This window comes from Homo sapiens, chromosome 17 (assembly GCF_000001405.40).
Source record: "Homo sapiens chromosome 17, GRCh38.p14 Primary Assembly".
In the NCBI taxonomy this organism is placed as follows: domain Eukaryota; kingdom Metazoa; phylum Chordata; class Mammalia; order Primates; family Hominidae; genus Homo; species Homo sapiens.
The window spans coordinates 76,154,971-76,169,481 of record NC_000017.11 but is presented as its reverse complement, the minus strand read 5'-3'; the positions used below and the strand labels follow the sequence as shown (position 1 = coordinate 76,169,481).

General features: G+C 45.7%; 1 protein-coding gene across 8 annotated transcripts in view, besides 1 other annotated feature; it reads left to right on the top strand.

Annotated features, from left to right (window-relative positions):
* RNF157 (ring finger protein 157) overlaps positions 1-14,511 on the top strand; it is a 98,020-nt gene that overhangs the window by 71,012 nt on the left and 12,497 nt on the right. For 4 of the 8 annotated variants that reach the window (NM_052916.3, NM_001438721.1, XM_047435288.1 and 1 more), the window contains exons 4-16: positions 1,685-1,831; positions 2,356-2,473; positions 2,955-3,021; positions 3,937-3,980; positions 4,687-4,734; positions 6,859-6,930; positions 7,480-7,639; positions 7,835-7,947; positions 9,909-10,147; positions 10,981-11,089; positions 13,161-13,272; positions 13,748-13,920; positions 14,165-14,230. In NM_052916.3, the coding sequence (NP_443148.1) occupies positions 1,685-1,831; positions 2,356-2,473; positions 2,955-3,021; positions 3,937-3,980; positions 4,687-4,734; positions 6,859-6,930; positions 7,480-7,639; positions 7,835-7,947; positions 9,909-10,147; positions 10,981-11,089; positions 13,161-13,272; positions 13,748-13,920; positions 14,165-14,230 (1,468 nt within the window). The other 4 variants (NM_001330501.2, XM_047435287.1, XM_011524273.4 and 1 more) reach the window with 3 other exon arrangements.
* Positions 1,470-2,669: an enhancer, noted in NCBI's record as "CDK7 strongly-dependent group 2 enhancer chr17:74162894-74164093 (GRCh37/hg19 assembly coordinates)". NCBI's record gives its function as "activates an origin of replication core promoter dependent on BRD2, BRD4, P300/CBP, MED14 and CDK7 cofactors, with strong dependence on CDK7, by STARR-seq in HCT116 cells {active_cell/tissue: HCT116}" and the evidence as "EXISTENCE:reporter gene assay evidence [ECO:0000049][PMID:35650434]".

Below are 14,511 nucleotides of genomic sequence, written 5' to 3'. Positions count from 1 at the left end.
TGGGCAACATAGTGAGACCCCATCTCTATATAAAATAATAATAAAGTAAAAAAAATCTAATTGGAAACAAAAGCTATGCAGGAAGAAGAAAACTTCATTAATAGTCTCAAAGACATGAGAGAAGTTATCTTTTTCTTTCATGGACACAATGACACAAAGTGTTTATGAAACCAAAAAAATAGCTTTTAGAAATTAAAAACAGGGAGCAGAAATGAAAATTTCAATAGAATGATAGGAAGAAAACTTGAAATATTCTAGAAAGTAGAGCAAAAATCCAGAGAGAAGGAAAATAGAAGAAGAAAGACGCAAGTAATAGAGCACCCATTTAGAAGGTCTGACATCCAACTAACGGGTTCTACAGAGAACAGAGAATGTAAAAGGAAGGAAATCATCAGTGACATAGAATTTAAGAAAACTTCTCAGAACCAGAGGGTACAAGTTTCTAAATGGAAAGGACCACCAAGTGCCCACACAGTGGCTGAGAAAGAGGACCGTCTGTAAGCTTTCAGAAGAAGAAGGATCAACAGTTGGAACGACTTCAGACTTCTTGGGAGCAACGCTGGGAGGTGAAAAATAAGGCAGTGAAAAGGCTTTCAGTGTCTTTTAGAAATTATTTATAATCTAGAATACTTTGCTCAGCCAAACTTTCAGTGAAGTGTGAATGTTGAATAATAGCTCTCAAAAGTTTATTTCCCAACACACCCTTTTTCAGGAAGCTGGCAGGACACGTGCTCCACCGATATGAAAGAATAACCCAAGACAGAGGAAGACTTGAGGTGCAGGAAACATGAGCTTCTACAGGAGGACAGAGGCAAAAGGGACCCACCAGGATGTTGGAGGGGGAGAGAGATTCCAGGGTGGCGACTGGGAGCCAGGTGCAGAGGGCCAAGTACAGATGGGAGCAAGTCCAAGGGACCTCCTCAATAAGATGAAATGAATAGACCGCTTGGTGCATCTGAACGTCTTGAGAGATTTAGACAGCCCCAGAGAGCTTGGGTTGGAATTTGTGATGAGTACATAGGAAACTACGCAACTGGAAGAAAAAAAAAAAAATAGGATGAGCACTAAGAAAAAGTTATGCAGGAAAAGAAAAATAATCATAGATTATAAGTTTGTGTAATCACAGTAATACAGACACAAATGTACTGGACTATTATAATAAAATCATGATGCAGCTACACTGGGGGGATGGCGGAGTTCCTACATGGAGCACAGTGAGGAAAGAGAAAGAAATCCTTGTTTCCATAGTAGGAAACCCATAGATAGCGCCTGAAACTGAAAAATCAAGAAGTAGTAACCCAAGTATATTTTTTAGAAACGTGGGTAAATGCCAAAATGATCACTAAAAGGGGTGTCCTCTGAAGACGAGGAAAGGGAAGAAGTAAGGCCTGCTGTTTTTTGCCTTGAGGAAACTATTTAAACTATGTGATTAATAACTTTTATTAAAATAAAAACAAAAGTGCCAAATGCACAATGGTGTAGTGGTAGCACTATGAGATACCAGAAGTAACCTGAATGCCCAGCAACATGGGTCATGAAGCACTCTGTGATCATTCAGAATGAAGAGGTAGACCTATGCTTATGATCATTCAGAGAAGCCCACAATATATTGCTAATTTTTTTAAAGGTAAATTTTAAAATATTGATATGCTACTCTGCAAATGCTGAGTCTCTGGTTTTCTAGATGTGCTGAGGAAGTGAAGAGCCCTGGAGAAGAGGCCAGTAAAGCTAAAGTCCACTACAATGTTGAGTTCACCTTTGACACAGATGCTCGGGTAGCCATCACCATCTATTACCAGGCCACGGAAGAGTTCCAGAATGGTATTGCCAGGTAAGATCAGGAGACCAGGAGAGCCACTTCCTTCCCAGATTATTACCAGGCCACGGAAGAGTTCCAGAATGGTATTACCAGGTAAGATCAGGAGACCAGGCGAGCCACTTCCTTCCCAGATAGGGAGAGTCCATGTCTTATCCACTCAGCAAGGGCGGAAAACATTCTTTTTCTGCAGCCAGATGAGATCTGGTTCCTGAATTTAGACTTTCTTCTACAAAGCCCTACCCTTTACCTTTTCCCTTCAAATTGTGCCATCTTGGTATAGTGACAAATGGTGGTATAGTCCTTCAGGTCCTTAACATGCTGTTAAAAATCTAGTAAGCTACCTTTCTTTGGATGTGTGGGTTGAATAGAAAAGTTTAACGTTGCCAAGCAAGAGCAAAGGAAATGGATTATAAAGGACCCTTTCTTCTCTTCGCTAGACCCTGTTGATAATTGAGAACAGGCATGAGCAGAGGAAGTTGTCAGACCCATCTGTGCCGGATACTGACTTTTGCTTTGCCTCCCACTTGTATCAATAGCTACATTCCCAAAGACAACAGCCTCCAGTCGGAGACTGTGCAGTACAAGCGAGGAGTGTGTCAGCAGTTCTGCCTGCCCTCCCACACCGTGGATCCCTCCGAGTGGGCCGAAGAGGAGGTGAGCTGCCTCTGGGGAGGGTTTCCCACATCCACTCAGAAGGGCCTAGGGGCTACTTAGGACTCGGTCTGACAGCAAAGGGGCTGCTCGGATGCTTGAAGGCCATGCTTACCTTTCAGCCTTGTGACTTCATCATGTCCTTTTAAAGCTCTGCTTATTTTGCATCAAGGATATACCTAACTTTGTTAATTTTTCCATTCCCTAGGAATGGAAATAGCCCATTAGCCTAGGATACTTTGAGAAAGCCATGCTCAAAGAAAAAAAAAATCTATAGGTTAGAGGTTCTTATTTACATCTATGACATTTTTAAAAAGCAGCTGATGGCCCTCAGTTAACAAACTTGGGTAATTAACAAGGCTAAAGAATGAGGAGCAGAGATGAGATTAATGCTTCTTGACAGTATCGCCCTTTCTGAGATTAGCTGTGCCATGTAAATGTGTTAAGTCCTCTTTTTTTTTCCTTTCCTTTTCTTTCCCTTCAGCTTGGCTTTGATTTAGACCGAGAAGTTTACCCTCTAGTGGTACATGCCGTGGTGGATGAAGGAGACGGTAGGGGCGATTTCTGTCCTCTTTGGCTGTGCACACTGCTCTTTTGTGGCATATTCCTGGCAGCAGCTGTGGCCCCAGAACAACATGCCTTCTTTGTGGGTGTTTGTGACTGTGAGTCAGGCAGTCTCTGCATCCTCTCACATCTGTGACTCCAAGCTCCTGGGCTGATGTGAAAAGTGTGGGTTTGGCTGGGCACAGTGGCTCACACGTATAATCCCAGCAGTTTGGGAGGCCGAGGTGGGTGGATCACCTGAGGTCAGGAGTTCGAGACCAGCCTAGGCAACATGGGGAAACCCTGTCTCTACTAAAAATACAAAAATCAGCTGGGTATGGCAGTGTGCACCTCTAATCTCAACTACTTGGGAGGCTGAGGCAGCAGAATCGTTTGAACCTGGGAGGCGGAGGTTGCAGTGAGCCGAGATTGTGCCACTGCACTCCAGCCTGGGTGACAGAGTGAGGCTCAGTCTCAAAAAAATGTGGTTTAGCTGGGCGTAGTGGCTCATCCCTGTAATCCTAGCACTTTGGGAGGCTGAGGCGGGCAGATCACCTGAAGTCAAGAGTTTGAGACCAGCCTGACCAACATAGTGAAACCCCGTCTCTACTAAAAATACAGAAAAGTAACCGGGCATGGTGGCTCATGCGTATAATCCCAGATACTTGGGAGGCTGAGGCAGGAGAATTGCTGGAACCGGGAGGCGGAGGCCACAGTGAGCCAAGATCATGCCACCGCACTCCAGCCCAGGCAACAGAGCCAGACTCTGTCTCAAAAAAAAAAAAGTATGGGTTATATAACGTGCCCCTTCTAGAGACAGACTGGCACATTTGGTTTGCCAGATTGCAGGGAACTGGAGAAAGTCATGGGCATCAAGATGTGCTGTTTGGGCTTCTTCACTCACGTGCCTTTGTTTCTTTCAGAGTATTTTGGCCATTGCCATGTACTGCTGGGTACTTTTGAGAAGGTGAGTGACTTTAGAGGGCCTCGCTTTATTGCCTTTAGCCCTTTCTTTCGTGTGAGACACATGTAACCCGTTTGCTGGGTGCCTGAGCTCAGCAGAATGGGTCTGGCTTTAGAGGCTATAATGGTGAAAGAGGTTGCAGTGAGCTGAGATGGCACCACCGCACTCCAGCCTGGGCGATAGAGTGAGGCTCTGTCTCAAAAAAAATAAATAAATAAAAGAAAGAAAGGCTAGACTGGATAATTATAAGACCTTTAAAGAATTAGGATTGTATAATTCTGCTCTGAGAGTGTCCAGGAACATGTGTACAGTAGTCCCCCCTTATCCTCAGGAGATAAGTTCCAAGACCCCCAGTGGATGCCTGAAACTGCAGATCGTACAGAACCCTCATATACACTGTGGTTTTTCCCATACTACATCCACACCTATGATAAAGTTTAATTCATAAGTTAGGCACAGTAAGAGACTAAGAATAATAGTAAACTAAAACAATTATAACTATAAGGTAATAGAAGTCTGAATGTGATCTTTCTCTCTCAAAATATTGTATGTAATATTTTCAGACAGTGGTTGATGGCGGGTAATTGAAACCATGGAAAATGAAACTGCAGATCAGGGAGGGCGACTGTAACTGGGAGATGTAACAGAAGAATACCTGGTGCTTTATTACCCTCCCTTCCTTGTCATAACTTTCATATTTTCATTCCAGCACACAGATGGAACTTTCTGTGTCAAGCCCCTCAAACAGAAACAAGTAGTAAGTATTTGAAGACCACAGACTGTTAGTATTAGGGTCCTTCCTTCCTTTTATTCTTTCCTTTCTTCTTCTCTCTCCCTCTTTTTTTATTTTTGTTTTACTTTTTGCTCTCTCCTTTTCCTCTTTTTTTTTTTTTAATCAAAGAAGAAAAGAAAAAAAGGGAGTGCTTTTGAATGTTACAAGCTATTACAAACGACTTGGGTGGCCTGAAAGGAATGCTGATTTTTGAGGTCTTCATTGTTCCAGAAGTGTTGGTGTTGAGGGAGCCTTTATCTGAGCAAAGGACTTGAGAAATGAAAGAACAAGATTTATTTCCCAACATTGGGTTTAGGGAGAACTCTTTTTATTTAAAATGCCAGAGTGAGAAACATTTCAAGCGAAAGGATAAAGCATTAGGGTCCAATTTAGTGTAATTAGAGTCATTGGCTTAATTTATCCATTCCTTTTCTAAAATTCAAAGTTAGCCATCCATTCTCCCTCTTCCAGAATGATCAGCACCTTGTGCATATGTCTGCTAGAAAGTCCCAGCCCCTACCATGTGCCAGCACTTTTCTTTCCACTCTTGTAGAGGTAGGAGGAGACATCACTGGGAGGAGAGAGAGTGGTGCCAGTGGCATTGGCAAGGGAGGGTGGGTGAGGGGCAGGTCATCTCACGGAGGGTGTAGAGCAGCTGGGTAGGAGGCAGGGTTGGGCTTCCTCGAGATGCAAAGAAAAGCCTTCCTGTAGATGGGTGATAGATACCTGAAATTCTACACTGTTCGTTCTTTTAGGTTAATTACTCGCCTCTCTTTTAATGAGGTCAATAATAAGAATATCTTAGGATAAATTAGTTTTCCAATATAATCACTGCATGAAAACAAGTTTTAAGAGCAGCAGAGGAGGAAACAGATCCTGGGCTCAGGCCCAGGGCACTACCTGGGCAGGCCAGGCCTTGGTGAGTTGCCTCATGGGGGAAGGCCTGGTTCTCCAGGAGGCCTGGATGGGATGGAAAGGCTCGTGTAGCTAGAGGAAGATGGTTTGTCCATTTTCCTCTTGTTAGATTGGCATTAGCAACAGACTGTTAAAACGGAGAGTGGGATATAAAATCAGCGACAGGCTATGTCTTAGGGGAAGGGATGGCTAAGAAACAGAGGTGAGGCAGAAGAGTGTGCTCCTAAAAGTAAATGGGGCAGGGCCAACTTAGACACTGACATGGCCCAGGTTAATGGGAGTGGGATTGGGCCTTGGTAGTTGGGGTTTTAAGAAACAGGGCTGGCCGGGCTTGATGGCTCATCTCTGTTATCCTAGCAGTTCGGGAGCCTGAGGCAGGTGGATCACTTGAGGTCAGGAGTTTGAGACCAGCCTGGTCAACATGGTGAAACCCCGTCTCTACCACAAAATACAAAAATTAGCCAGGCATGGTGGTGCACACCCTGTAATCGCAGCTACTCAGGAGGCTGAGACAGGAGAATCGCTTGAACCCAGGAGGTGGAGGTTGCAGCGAGCCAAGATGGTGCCACTGCACTCCAGCCTGGATGACAGAGCAAGACCCTATCTCAAAAAAAAAAAAAAAAAAAAGGAAACAGGGCCAAGAGGTGTAATTTTGCTGCATGTTGGGGATGGGGTGGCTTCATGGTGTGGGGTACACACCATTAGCCTCTCCCTCAAGGTCTTGCTATCGCCCTTTGCATCCATATTTTCCCTTCCCATCTTTTTCCTTGCCAACTTCTTCTTCTTTTTCTTTCTCTTTTCCATTCCTTTATTTGTATAATGTCTGAACTCAAATTGGATTATATAGCAAATGCCTAGATTTTAATGCATGCCCTTCCATCCTTTTTCTAGTCTGTGCCTTCTTAATTGTCCATAATAGTATGCTGCAGTGCAAGTATTATTATTGTATTTGTGAAATTTTATGTTCCCTGTTGTATATAATGATGGGTGAATTAAATATTTGATTTTCTTTCTTCTCTCAAAGAGAAAACATAAGTAAATAAAAGCATCTTTTACTTATCCAGGCCTTTGATTTTTTTTCTCATTATGAATCGGTAGTCCTTGGTTACCAAAAGAGGTAAGATTGGAGGGAGTTCCCACTCTTGTCTCTCAGTAGAGACAGCCTGTCCTTGAACCTTTCTGTTTGCTGTTCAGGTAGACGGGGTCAGCTACCTCCTTCAGGAGATCTATGGAATTGAAAACAAGTACAACACACAAGATTCTAAGGTAAGTTTTACCCAAAATTCTGAATGTACTCTTTCCAGGAGGCCAAGTGAGAAATCGTAAGCCAGCGTCCAGAAATTTAGCGTGCCAAACTCTGAAATCAGTTAGGTCTTAGAAGGGTATTTTCTTGTTCCTCATTTCAGATCATTACGCTTTTACCACTTTGGAAATGAGAAAAGTAGGCTGGTTTGGCTTTGTTCTGCCACAGAGCTCTGTCCAACTCGGTTTCCACCAGGGCCCTTTCTTTGCTCCTTTTCCTTTATCTGTGTGATCCCCTAAGTCCCTTCAGCTGAGATTTGAGAGGCCCAGCTCTGGGCCTTATAGGAGGAGCTCGAGTGGTTAGTCTCGTCCTCTCAATTTTAGATAAACACTTCCCAGAAGAAGTGAAGCTAAGTGTGTGGACGCACTGGGAAAATGACAAAGTCCAATGTCAATGCAGATTTTGTTCGTAATTATTACTTATCTTAGCTCTTCAGCCACGCTGCCTTGTCAGTAAAGTATGGGACAGGAAGGGCTTTGTGCCATTGGCTACATTTCTTTCTCCTTGGCCAGGTGGCTGAAGACGAAGTGAGTGATAACAGTGCCGAGTGTGTGGTGTGTCTCTCGGATGTCCGGGACACCTTGATTCTGCCCTGTCGCCACCTCTGCCTCTGTAACACCTGTGCAGACACGCTGCGCTACCAGGCCAACAACTGCCCCATCTGCCGACTGCGTAAGCCCCAGAGCGGCAGGGGGACTGGTGGGTGGGAGAGGGGACAAGAGGACATTTACAAAACACTGAAGCATGTGCTGCTGCTGGATCTGACAAACGGATGCGCGCTGGGAGGGATCATGGTTTCTGTCTGGGCTCTTGTTCATTCTTAATCCTGTATCAGGATGTCCTGATTGCCTGTTTTCTCCTTCACAGCCTTCCGGGCACTGCTTCAGATCCGAGCCATGAGGAAAAAATTGGGCCCCTTGTCCCCAACCAGCTTTAACCCCATCATCTCATCCCAGACATCTGACTCTGAAGAGCATCCAGTAAGTTGGGCTCGGAACCACGGCCCCTCTGAAGCAAATGCCTCATTGGCTTTTTTAAACTTTTCATGCTTCTCTACGTGGCATTGCAGCAAGGAATTAGACCAGGGCATGCTGCAGTATTTAGCAAGCCGGCTGAGAGCATGCGTTAAAACCAACTTATTACTGTGGAAAATTGAATACTGAAAACCTCCCTTTTCCTCCTTGGGAACTTGGTGTCCAGTTAATGTTTACCATTCCTAGAGCCATCTGCTTGCAGTTTCACTCCAGTGAGGTTCAACTTGAACTCCCCCAGGCAGAAACAATGGGACGATTATTTTGGATTTAAATACAATTTATTATCTTTATTTGAATCCTCGAAGAAAGTAACTGTTTTTCTTTATCCTGTTTTGTGGCCTCAGTGCCTGAGATAAAGTAACTGACTTCAGTTTCCTAGTGTAAGTGCTGATATTAGGGTGAAACCTCAAAGCTTTGCAGTTAGAGAGCAGCAGATACTGTCTTTCTTTAGACTAACGCACTGCTGGGAGAGATTATTATTTAGTGAATGGTATTGGGATAATTAGTTAGCTATTTCAGGAGGAAAAATTAGTTTAGCACTTTACTCCTTACCAAATAAATTCCAGCTGGAGTAACTAGTTAACTATATTAAGAGCATCAAACCAAACAAACATTACAGCAAACCAAGCAAAACATTCAAAATCTAGAATAAATTATAGATGATTATTTAGTTGACTTTGGATTGGAAAGGATTCTCTAAGCTTGAAAGCAAGAACCATACATTTTACCACCTAAAAAGTTTAGCACTTCAGAGGTCTAAAAGGTAACCAAAATTAAAAGTTAGACAACAAATAGTGTTTTTTTAAAAACTATTTACAATGTGTGTATCAGAGGAAAAGCTAATGTCTTTGCCATAGTTCATATTGAATAAAACAGTAGATAAAAGGGCAAAGGGCATAAACAAAACACACTCAACATAGAATTTTTTAAAAAGTTCAACCACATTAAAAATCAATGATATGCAAATATGAGAATACCATTTTCCAACTTTCAAATTTTAAAAACTTTTCTTTTTAGCGATTCTCCCTGCTTTCGGGGAAGCAGTCAGAATAGGTCTTCTGTATTACTTATAGGAGTGTAACTAGAAAAGGCACTGAAAAAAAAAACAGCAGAAAACAGCAGTATATATCAAGGCCTTAAAAACATTTATACCTCATCATCTAAGAGCTAATAATTTAATAACAAGAACATAATTTGAAAAAAAGGCATTCAAGGATGTTCATCAAAACTTGTTTACAATAGGATGTGTTAGACACAACTAGATTCCCAGCACTAGGAGAATAGTTAGAAAACTTAGGGGATCTATGAGAAGGGGACATATATAAAGAGGCTTCAGAAACAAAGGAAAATATTTATGTTCTGGCCAGGCATGGTGGCTTACATCTGTAATCCTAGCACTTTGGGAGGCCATGGTGGGAGGATCAATTGAGACCAGGAGCTCAAGACCAGCCTGGGCAACATAGTGAGATCCCATCTCTATTTTTTTAAAGAGGAAAGTATAATAAAATAAGCAGAATATAAAATTGTTATTTACAGATTGATCAAAACTGTGTAAATAGTACACAGAAAAAAAATGGGAAGAAGAGACACCAGAATGCTAACAAAAGTAACTTTGGGTGATTTGATTACTGGTGATTTTTTTTCCTTACTTTTACTTTTATGTATTTTCCAAATTTCCATTATAATCAGAAAAAAAATAGAGATTATTAAGAAAAAGCTTACCAATAAGCAGGATCTACAGTGTGTGATTCTTTGATATTTTATCTCTGCCTCTAGTACAGTTGTTCTTACCAGACCCCCCCAAGAACAGATATAAAACATTTTTTTCAGTGTAGAGAAGTAGCATGATCACGTCATAAAACAAAAAGGACCTAATTAATTTTTCAACCTGTCTCTGATTCCCCTAGTCCTCAGAGAATATTCCACCAGGCTATGAAGTAGTATCTCTTCTGGAGGCCCTCAACGGGCCCCTCACCCCGTCCCCAGCAGTTCCTCCACTTCACGTGCTTGGAGATGGCCACCTCTCAGGAATGCTCCCTTCATATGGCAGTGATGGCCACCTGCCCCCCGTCAGGACGATCTCGCCTCTTGACCGCCTGTCTGACAGCAGCAGTCAGGGACTCAAACTCAAAAAGAGTCTCTCCAAGTGAGTAGCCAGTGCTCCACACTGTTGCCCCCGGAATCCTTGATGAAATGCTTCATCCCTCCTTGGTGCTGGCCCACATCCTGGGGACTTAGGGCAGAGTAACCCTCTGGGCTGTTCCCAGAGCTGCTTGCGTGAAGGTTATCCCATCCATTAAGAGATGAAAATAAGATGGTATGTAGGTACTTAAGAAAACTCTGATGAGACAAATCTCTTATGTATTCTTTTTTTCTTTCAAGGATAGGGGATGGGATATAGGGAAGAGGATGTTGAACACTGTGGATAGGGCCTTCTAGGCCCCTGGGAGCATTGCTTAGTCCGAAGACTGAAGGAACCTTGTGATCCGTATCTCTTAAACATCTAAATCCAGCTAGGCACAAATCATGACAAGGTTTCTGTGGCAGAGTAAAGGGGAGGGTATTTTACAGATGAAAATATTGAGACCCTGTAAATGGCAGTGGTTTTTCCCAAGTTTAGATAGCAAGTCATCAGAGGAGCTAAAAGTAAAACTTAGCGCTTCTGACACCCAAAAGAGGTCTCCATCCCTCTCTGGTTCTATTTCCCTAGTCCTACTTAAGATTTGGGTTTCGAGCCAGGCAAGTTAGCCCAGACCTACTCGGCTACTCAGGAGGCTGTACTCCTCCTCTGTTAAAGCGTCAACAAGAGGATCGCTGAAGCCCAGGAGTCCCAGCCCAGCCTGGGAAACATAATGAGATGCTGTCTCAAAAAATAAACAAGCAAAAAATATTTGGGTTTTCCCCTCAGCTCCCCTTGCAGTAAGTTCTGTTCTTTAAATGGACGTTGGATATAGCTGCTTTTCCACTGGACTCCTACAGATCCACTTCCCAAAACTCTTCCGTGCTGCATGAAGAGGAAGATGAGCATTCCTGCAGCGAGTCGGAGACACAGCTCTCTCAGAGACCGTCGGTTCAGCATCTCGGAGAGGTAATTGACATTCCTCTCCTCTTCTTGGGTGTTGTACTCCAGGGACTTCCCTCCTACCTGCATGCCTCATCAGGTCCCTCTGCTCTCATTCACTCATCAAACACCTTGTCAGCACCCTCTGAGGCAGTGGCAAAGGTTTCACTGGATTCATGCATTCAACAGTGTATGCAGCCTGTATTATTTGCCAGGCACTGTGCTATATGCTGAGGATAGTAGCTGGGACACTACAAAAGTCCCTGCCCTTGTAGCATTTATATTCTTGCTATCTGGGGTGGGGGGCACAAAAGACAATAGGTAAAAAAATACATGTGTGCCTGATGGTGCTGTGGATCAGCATGTGTGACATGTGGGAAGGGAGTGTCACGGCTGGAAGTGGGGGCTGCCATTCTTAAAAAGCGGTCCAGGAGCCAAGACCAAGGGAAGTGGTAGAGCTAGCTATGCAGATATACGAGGAGAGAGGGCCCTAGGTCTGGGAACAGCAAGGAGAAAGTCCTGGGGGTAAGTGGGGGGTGTCGGGAGGCCCATGTGGAAGAATGGAAGAGAAGGCTGGAATTTTCTACTCTGTGCGTCCCACAGAGACCTCACTTAACAAAGGTTTATGCAGCTTCTCTCTGTAGGGCACTGAGCTAGATACAGCAGGGCACAGGAAGGTAAATAAAGTGGTCCCTGCCCTTAGGTGCTCAGGTCTGGCTGGGACAGGACATATACATGGGAATAGCATGTGCCTGGCACGTTGTTGTTGCTCAGTAAGTATTTGTTCAATGACTAAGTAAATTTTATAAAAAAGAAGTATGCCCAAAACAGAGACGATAAATTGCTGTGTCAGAGATGGAAAAGATCATTGTAAGTGGAGGAAATCAGAAAATGTGTTATGGAGGAATAGCATTTTAGCTAAACCTGGAAGTTTTTTAGACATGGAGAAAGAGGTGAGAGAAACATCCATGTGGAGAAGACGATGCATGCAAAGGCACAGAGCAGGAAGTCGGGGCTCGGAGCAAGCCAGGGGCACAGTGAGTGCTTCACACCCCAAAGGCCCACCCGACCGCAGTGTGCAGCCTGGACTAGACGGGAGACAGACCCAGCCAGGAGAGGGTTTCAGTAGCCCAGGCAAGAAGGACTGTGTGACTGGCCGGGCGCGGAGGCTCACGCCTGGAATCCCGGCACTTTGGGAGGCCGAGGCGGGCGGATCACGAGGTCAGGAGATCGAGACCATCCTGGCTAACATGGTGAAACCCCGTCTCTACTAAAAATACAAAAAATTAGCCAGGTGTGGTGGCATGCACCTGTAGTCCCAGCTACTCGGGAGGCTGAGGCAGGAGAATCGCTTGAACCCAGGAGGCAGGGGTTGCAGTGAGCCAAGACCGCACCACTGCACTCCAGCCTGGGCTGGGCAACAGAGCGAGACTCCATCTCAAAAAAAAAAAGTGAAAAAAAAAAGAAGGACTGCGTGAACTAAGACAAAAGAGGAGCGCCTGGAGGGAAGGGAAGGGATTATGGAGATACAGTTCGTAGAACTTTGCATCCATCTTGGACGGGTGAGGCTGTGCACCCAGATGCCTGACAGGTCGGGGCTGGGATCGGAGGTGGGGGTGTGGGAGGAGCAGCAGGCTGGGGAGCAAGGTGGTGTTTGTATCAGAAAGCAGCTGGGCAGGAATTAACTGGGGTCCACGTGGAGATACCCTGCAGGCAGGAAGTCCTCTGCTGGCTTTGTATGCTTTTGCCGCAGAAGGAAAGCTGATCATAATCCTGGGGAAACCTGGGGTGTCCCCATGTCACAGCTGCAGGGTGACCTGTGTCACCCGAGCTGCAGTCTTTGTATGGCCGCAGCAGATGCTGTGCCCTGGGCAGGAGGTGTTGACTGAAGTGTGCGCCTCCCCTGGGAGGCAGTCATTCCAGGCTTGGGCTGAAGTGAGGACGGAAGAGAGAAGCTGCGGCCTCTGCATGCCACTCAGTCCCTCCCAGTGTCGCCTTTCCTCCTCATCTCTACCCAGACCTCCGCCCTGACCCCTTCCTCCAGCACAGGTGACTGGCGCTTGCTCCATGTCCTGTTGTGTCCCCCCACAACCCCCAGGAATGTGGTGTGACTCCAGAAAGTGAGAATCTCACCTTGTCGTCATCTGGAGCTATTGACCAGTCGTCTTGCACAGGGACGCCTCTGTCATCCACTATTTCCTCCCCAGAAGGTACATAAGGAGCGGGGAGTGGCTGCATGTCCTTCCCCCTTACCCAGCCCACAGTGTCCTGGTGCTTCTTCCGGGAAGGGACATGGGAGTGGCAAGCTAATACCTGTACTGCATGACAAGTAGGCCCTGGCTTGAGAGGGAAGAGGACTTGCTTTCCTACCATGGGATAGCAGGCTTGCCTGTAGCTAGTGGGGTGTTAATTCTCTCAGCCCCAGTCCTCCTGTAATGAGGTTTCCTTTAGCATTATGACAGGGAAAAGCAAATGTCTTGTCCCCAAGGCTGAGTTCTGAGCTCTAAAATATAAAGGAGCAGAATTTTGGAAAACCATAAACCTAAAACCACTTTTAGGGGAGGGCAAGATACGGCCACTTCACTCCTCAATGCCTGAATGCAGGGAGAGGGCTCTGCTCCCCAGAAAGCTTGCAGAAGCCCTGCCTGACCTCCAGGCTCCTTTCCCCATCCCCTGTCTCCAAAGGCCCTGCCAGCAGCAGCTTGGCCCAGTCTGTCATGTCCATGGCATCCTCCCAGATCAGCACTGACACCGTCTCCTCCATGTCTGGCTCCTACATCGCCCCTGGCACTGAAGAGGAGGGAGAGGCTCTCTCTTCCCCCCAGCCTGCCAGCAGGGCCCCCTCAGAAGAAGGAGAGGTAAGGGAAGGGACGGGAACCGCCCTGGCTTCTCTGTTCTTTGTGCACATGTCCAAAGTAGCATAACCAAAGGTCTGCCATGCATGGCTGCAAAGCCCCCAAAATGCCAGGAGTGCTGCAGAAAACAAGGCATTCCCTTAGGTCTGACCCTCCTATTTGACACCAATTTTGTTCTGAAGAAGGTTTGGGTTTGCTGTCACGAGACCTTTATGGAAGAGCCTGTAAAAACTGTGCTCTTCTGCAGGGGCTGCCAGCGGAGTCTCCAGACAGCAACTTTGCTGGCCTCCCAGCTGGAGAGCAGGATGCAGAGGTAACCCCAACAGCACGGAGTGGTGCCCCCTTCCCACAACCAGAGGAGTGCTGGCCTTGGCTGGGGATGCCAGTAAGGACCAGGGCCAGGAGGCTGCGCTGACGAAGCCTTCCTAGGGGACATGCCTAGATCAGTGAGAAGTGGAATGTGGGTAGAGATGAGAGCAGCTGCTCCCGGGCCTGTGGACTGTCCAGTGAGTGGGGCCACTGGTTCCCAGGGTCACTGGTGTGGAGTGAGTTCAAGAGGGAACTTTTCTGGCCAGCCCCTGGCCTTGAGAATAT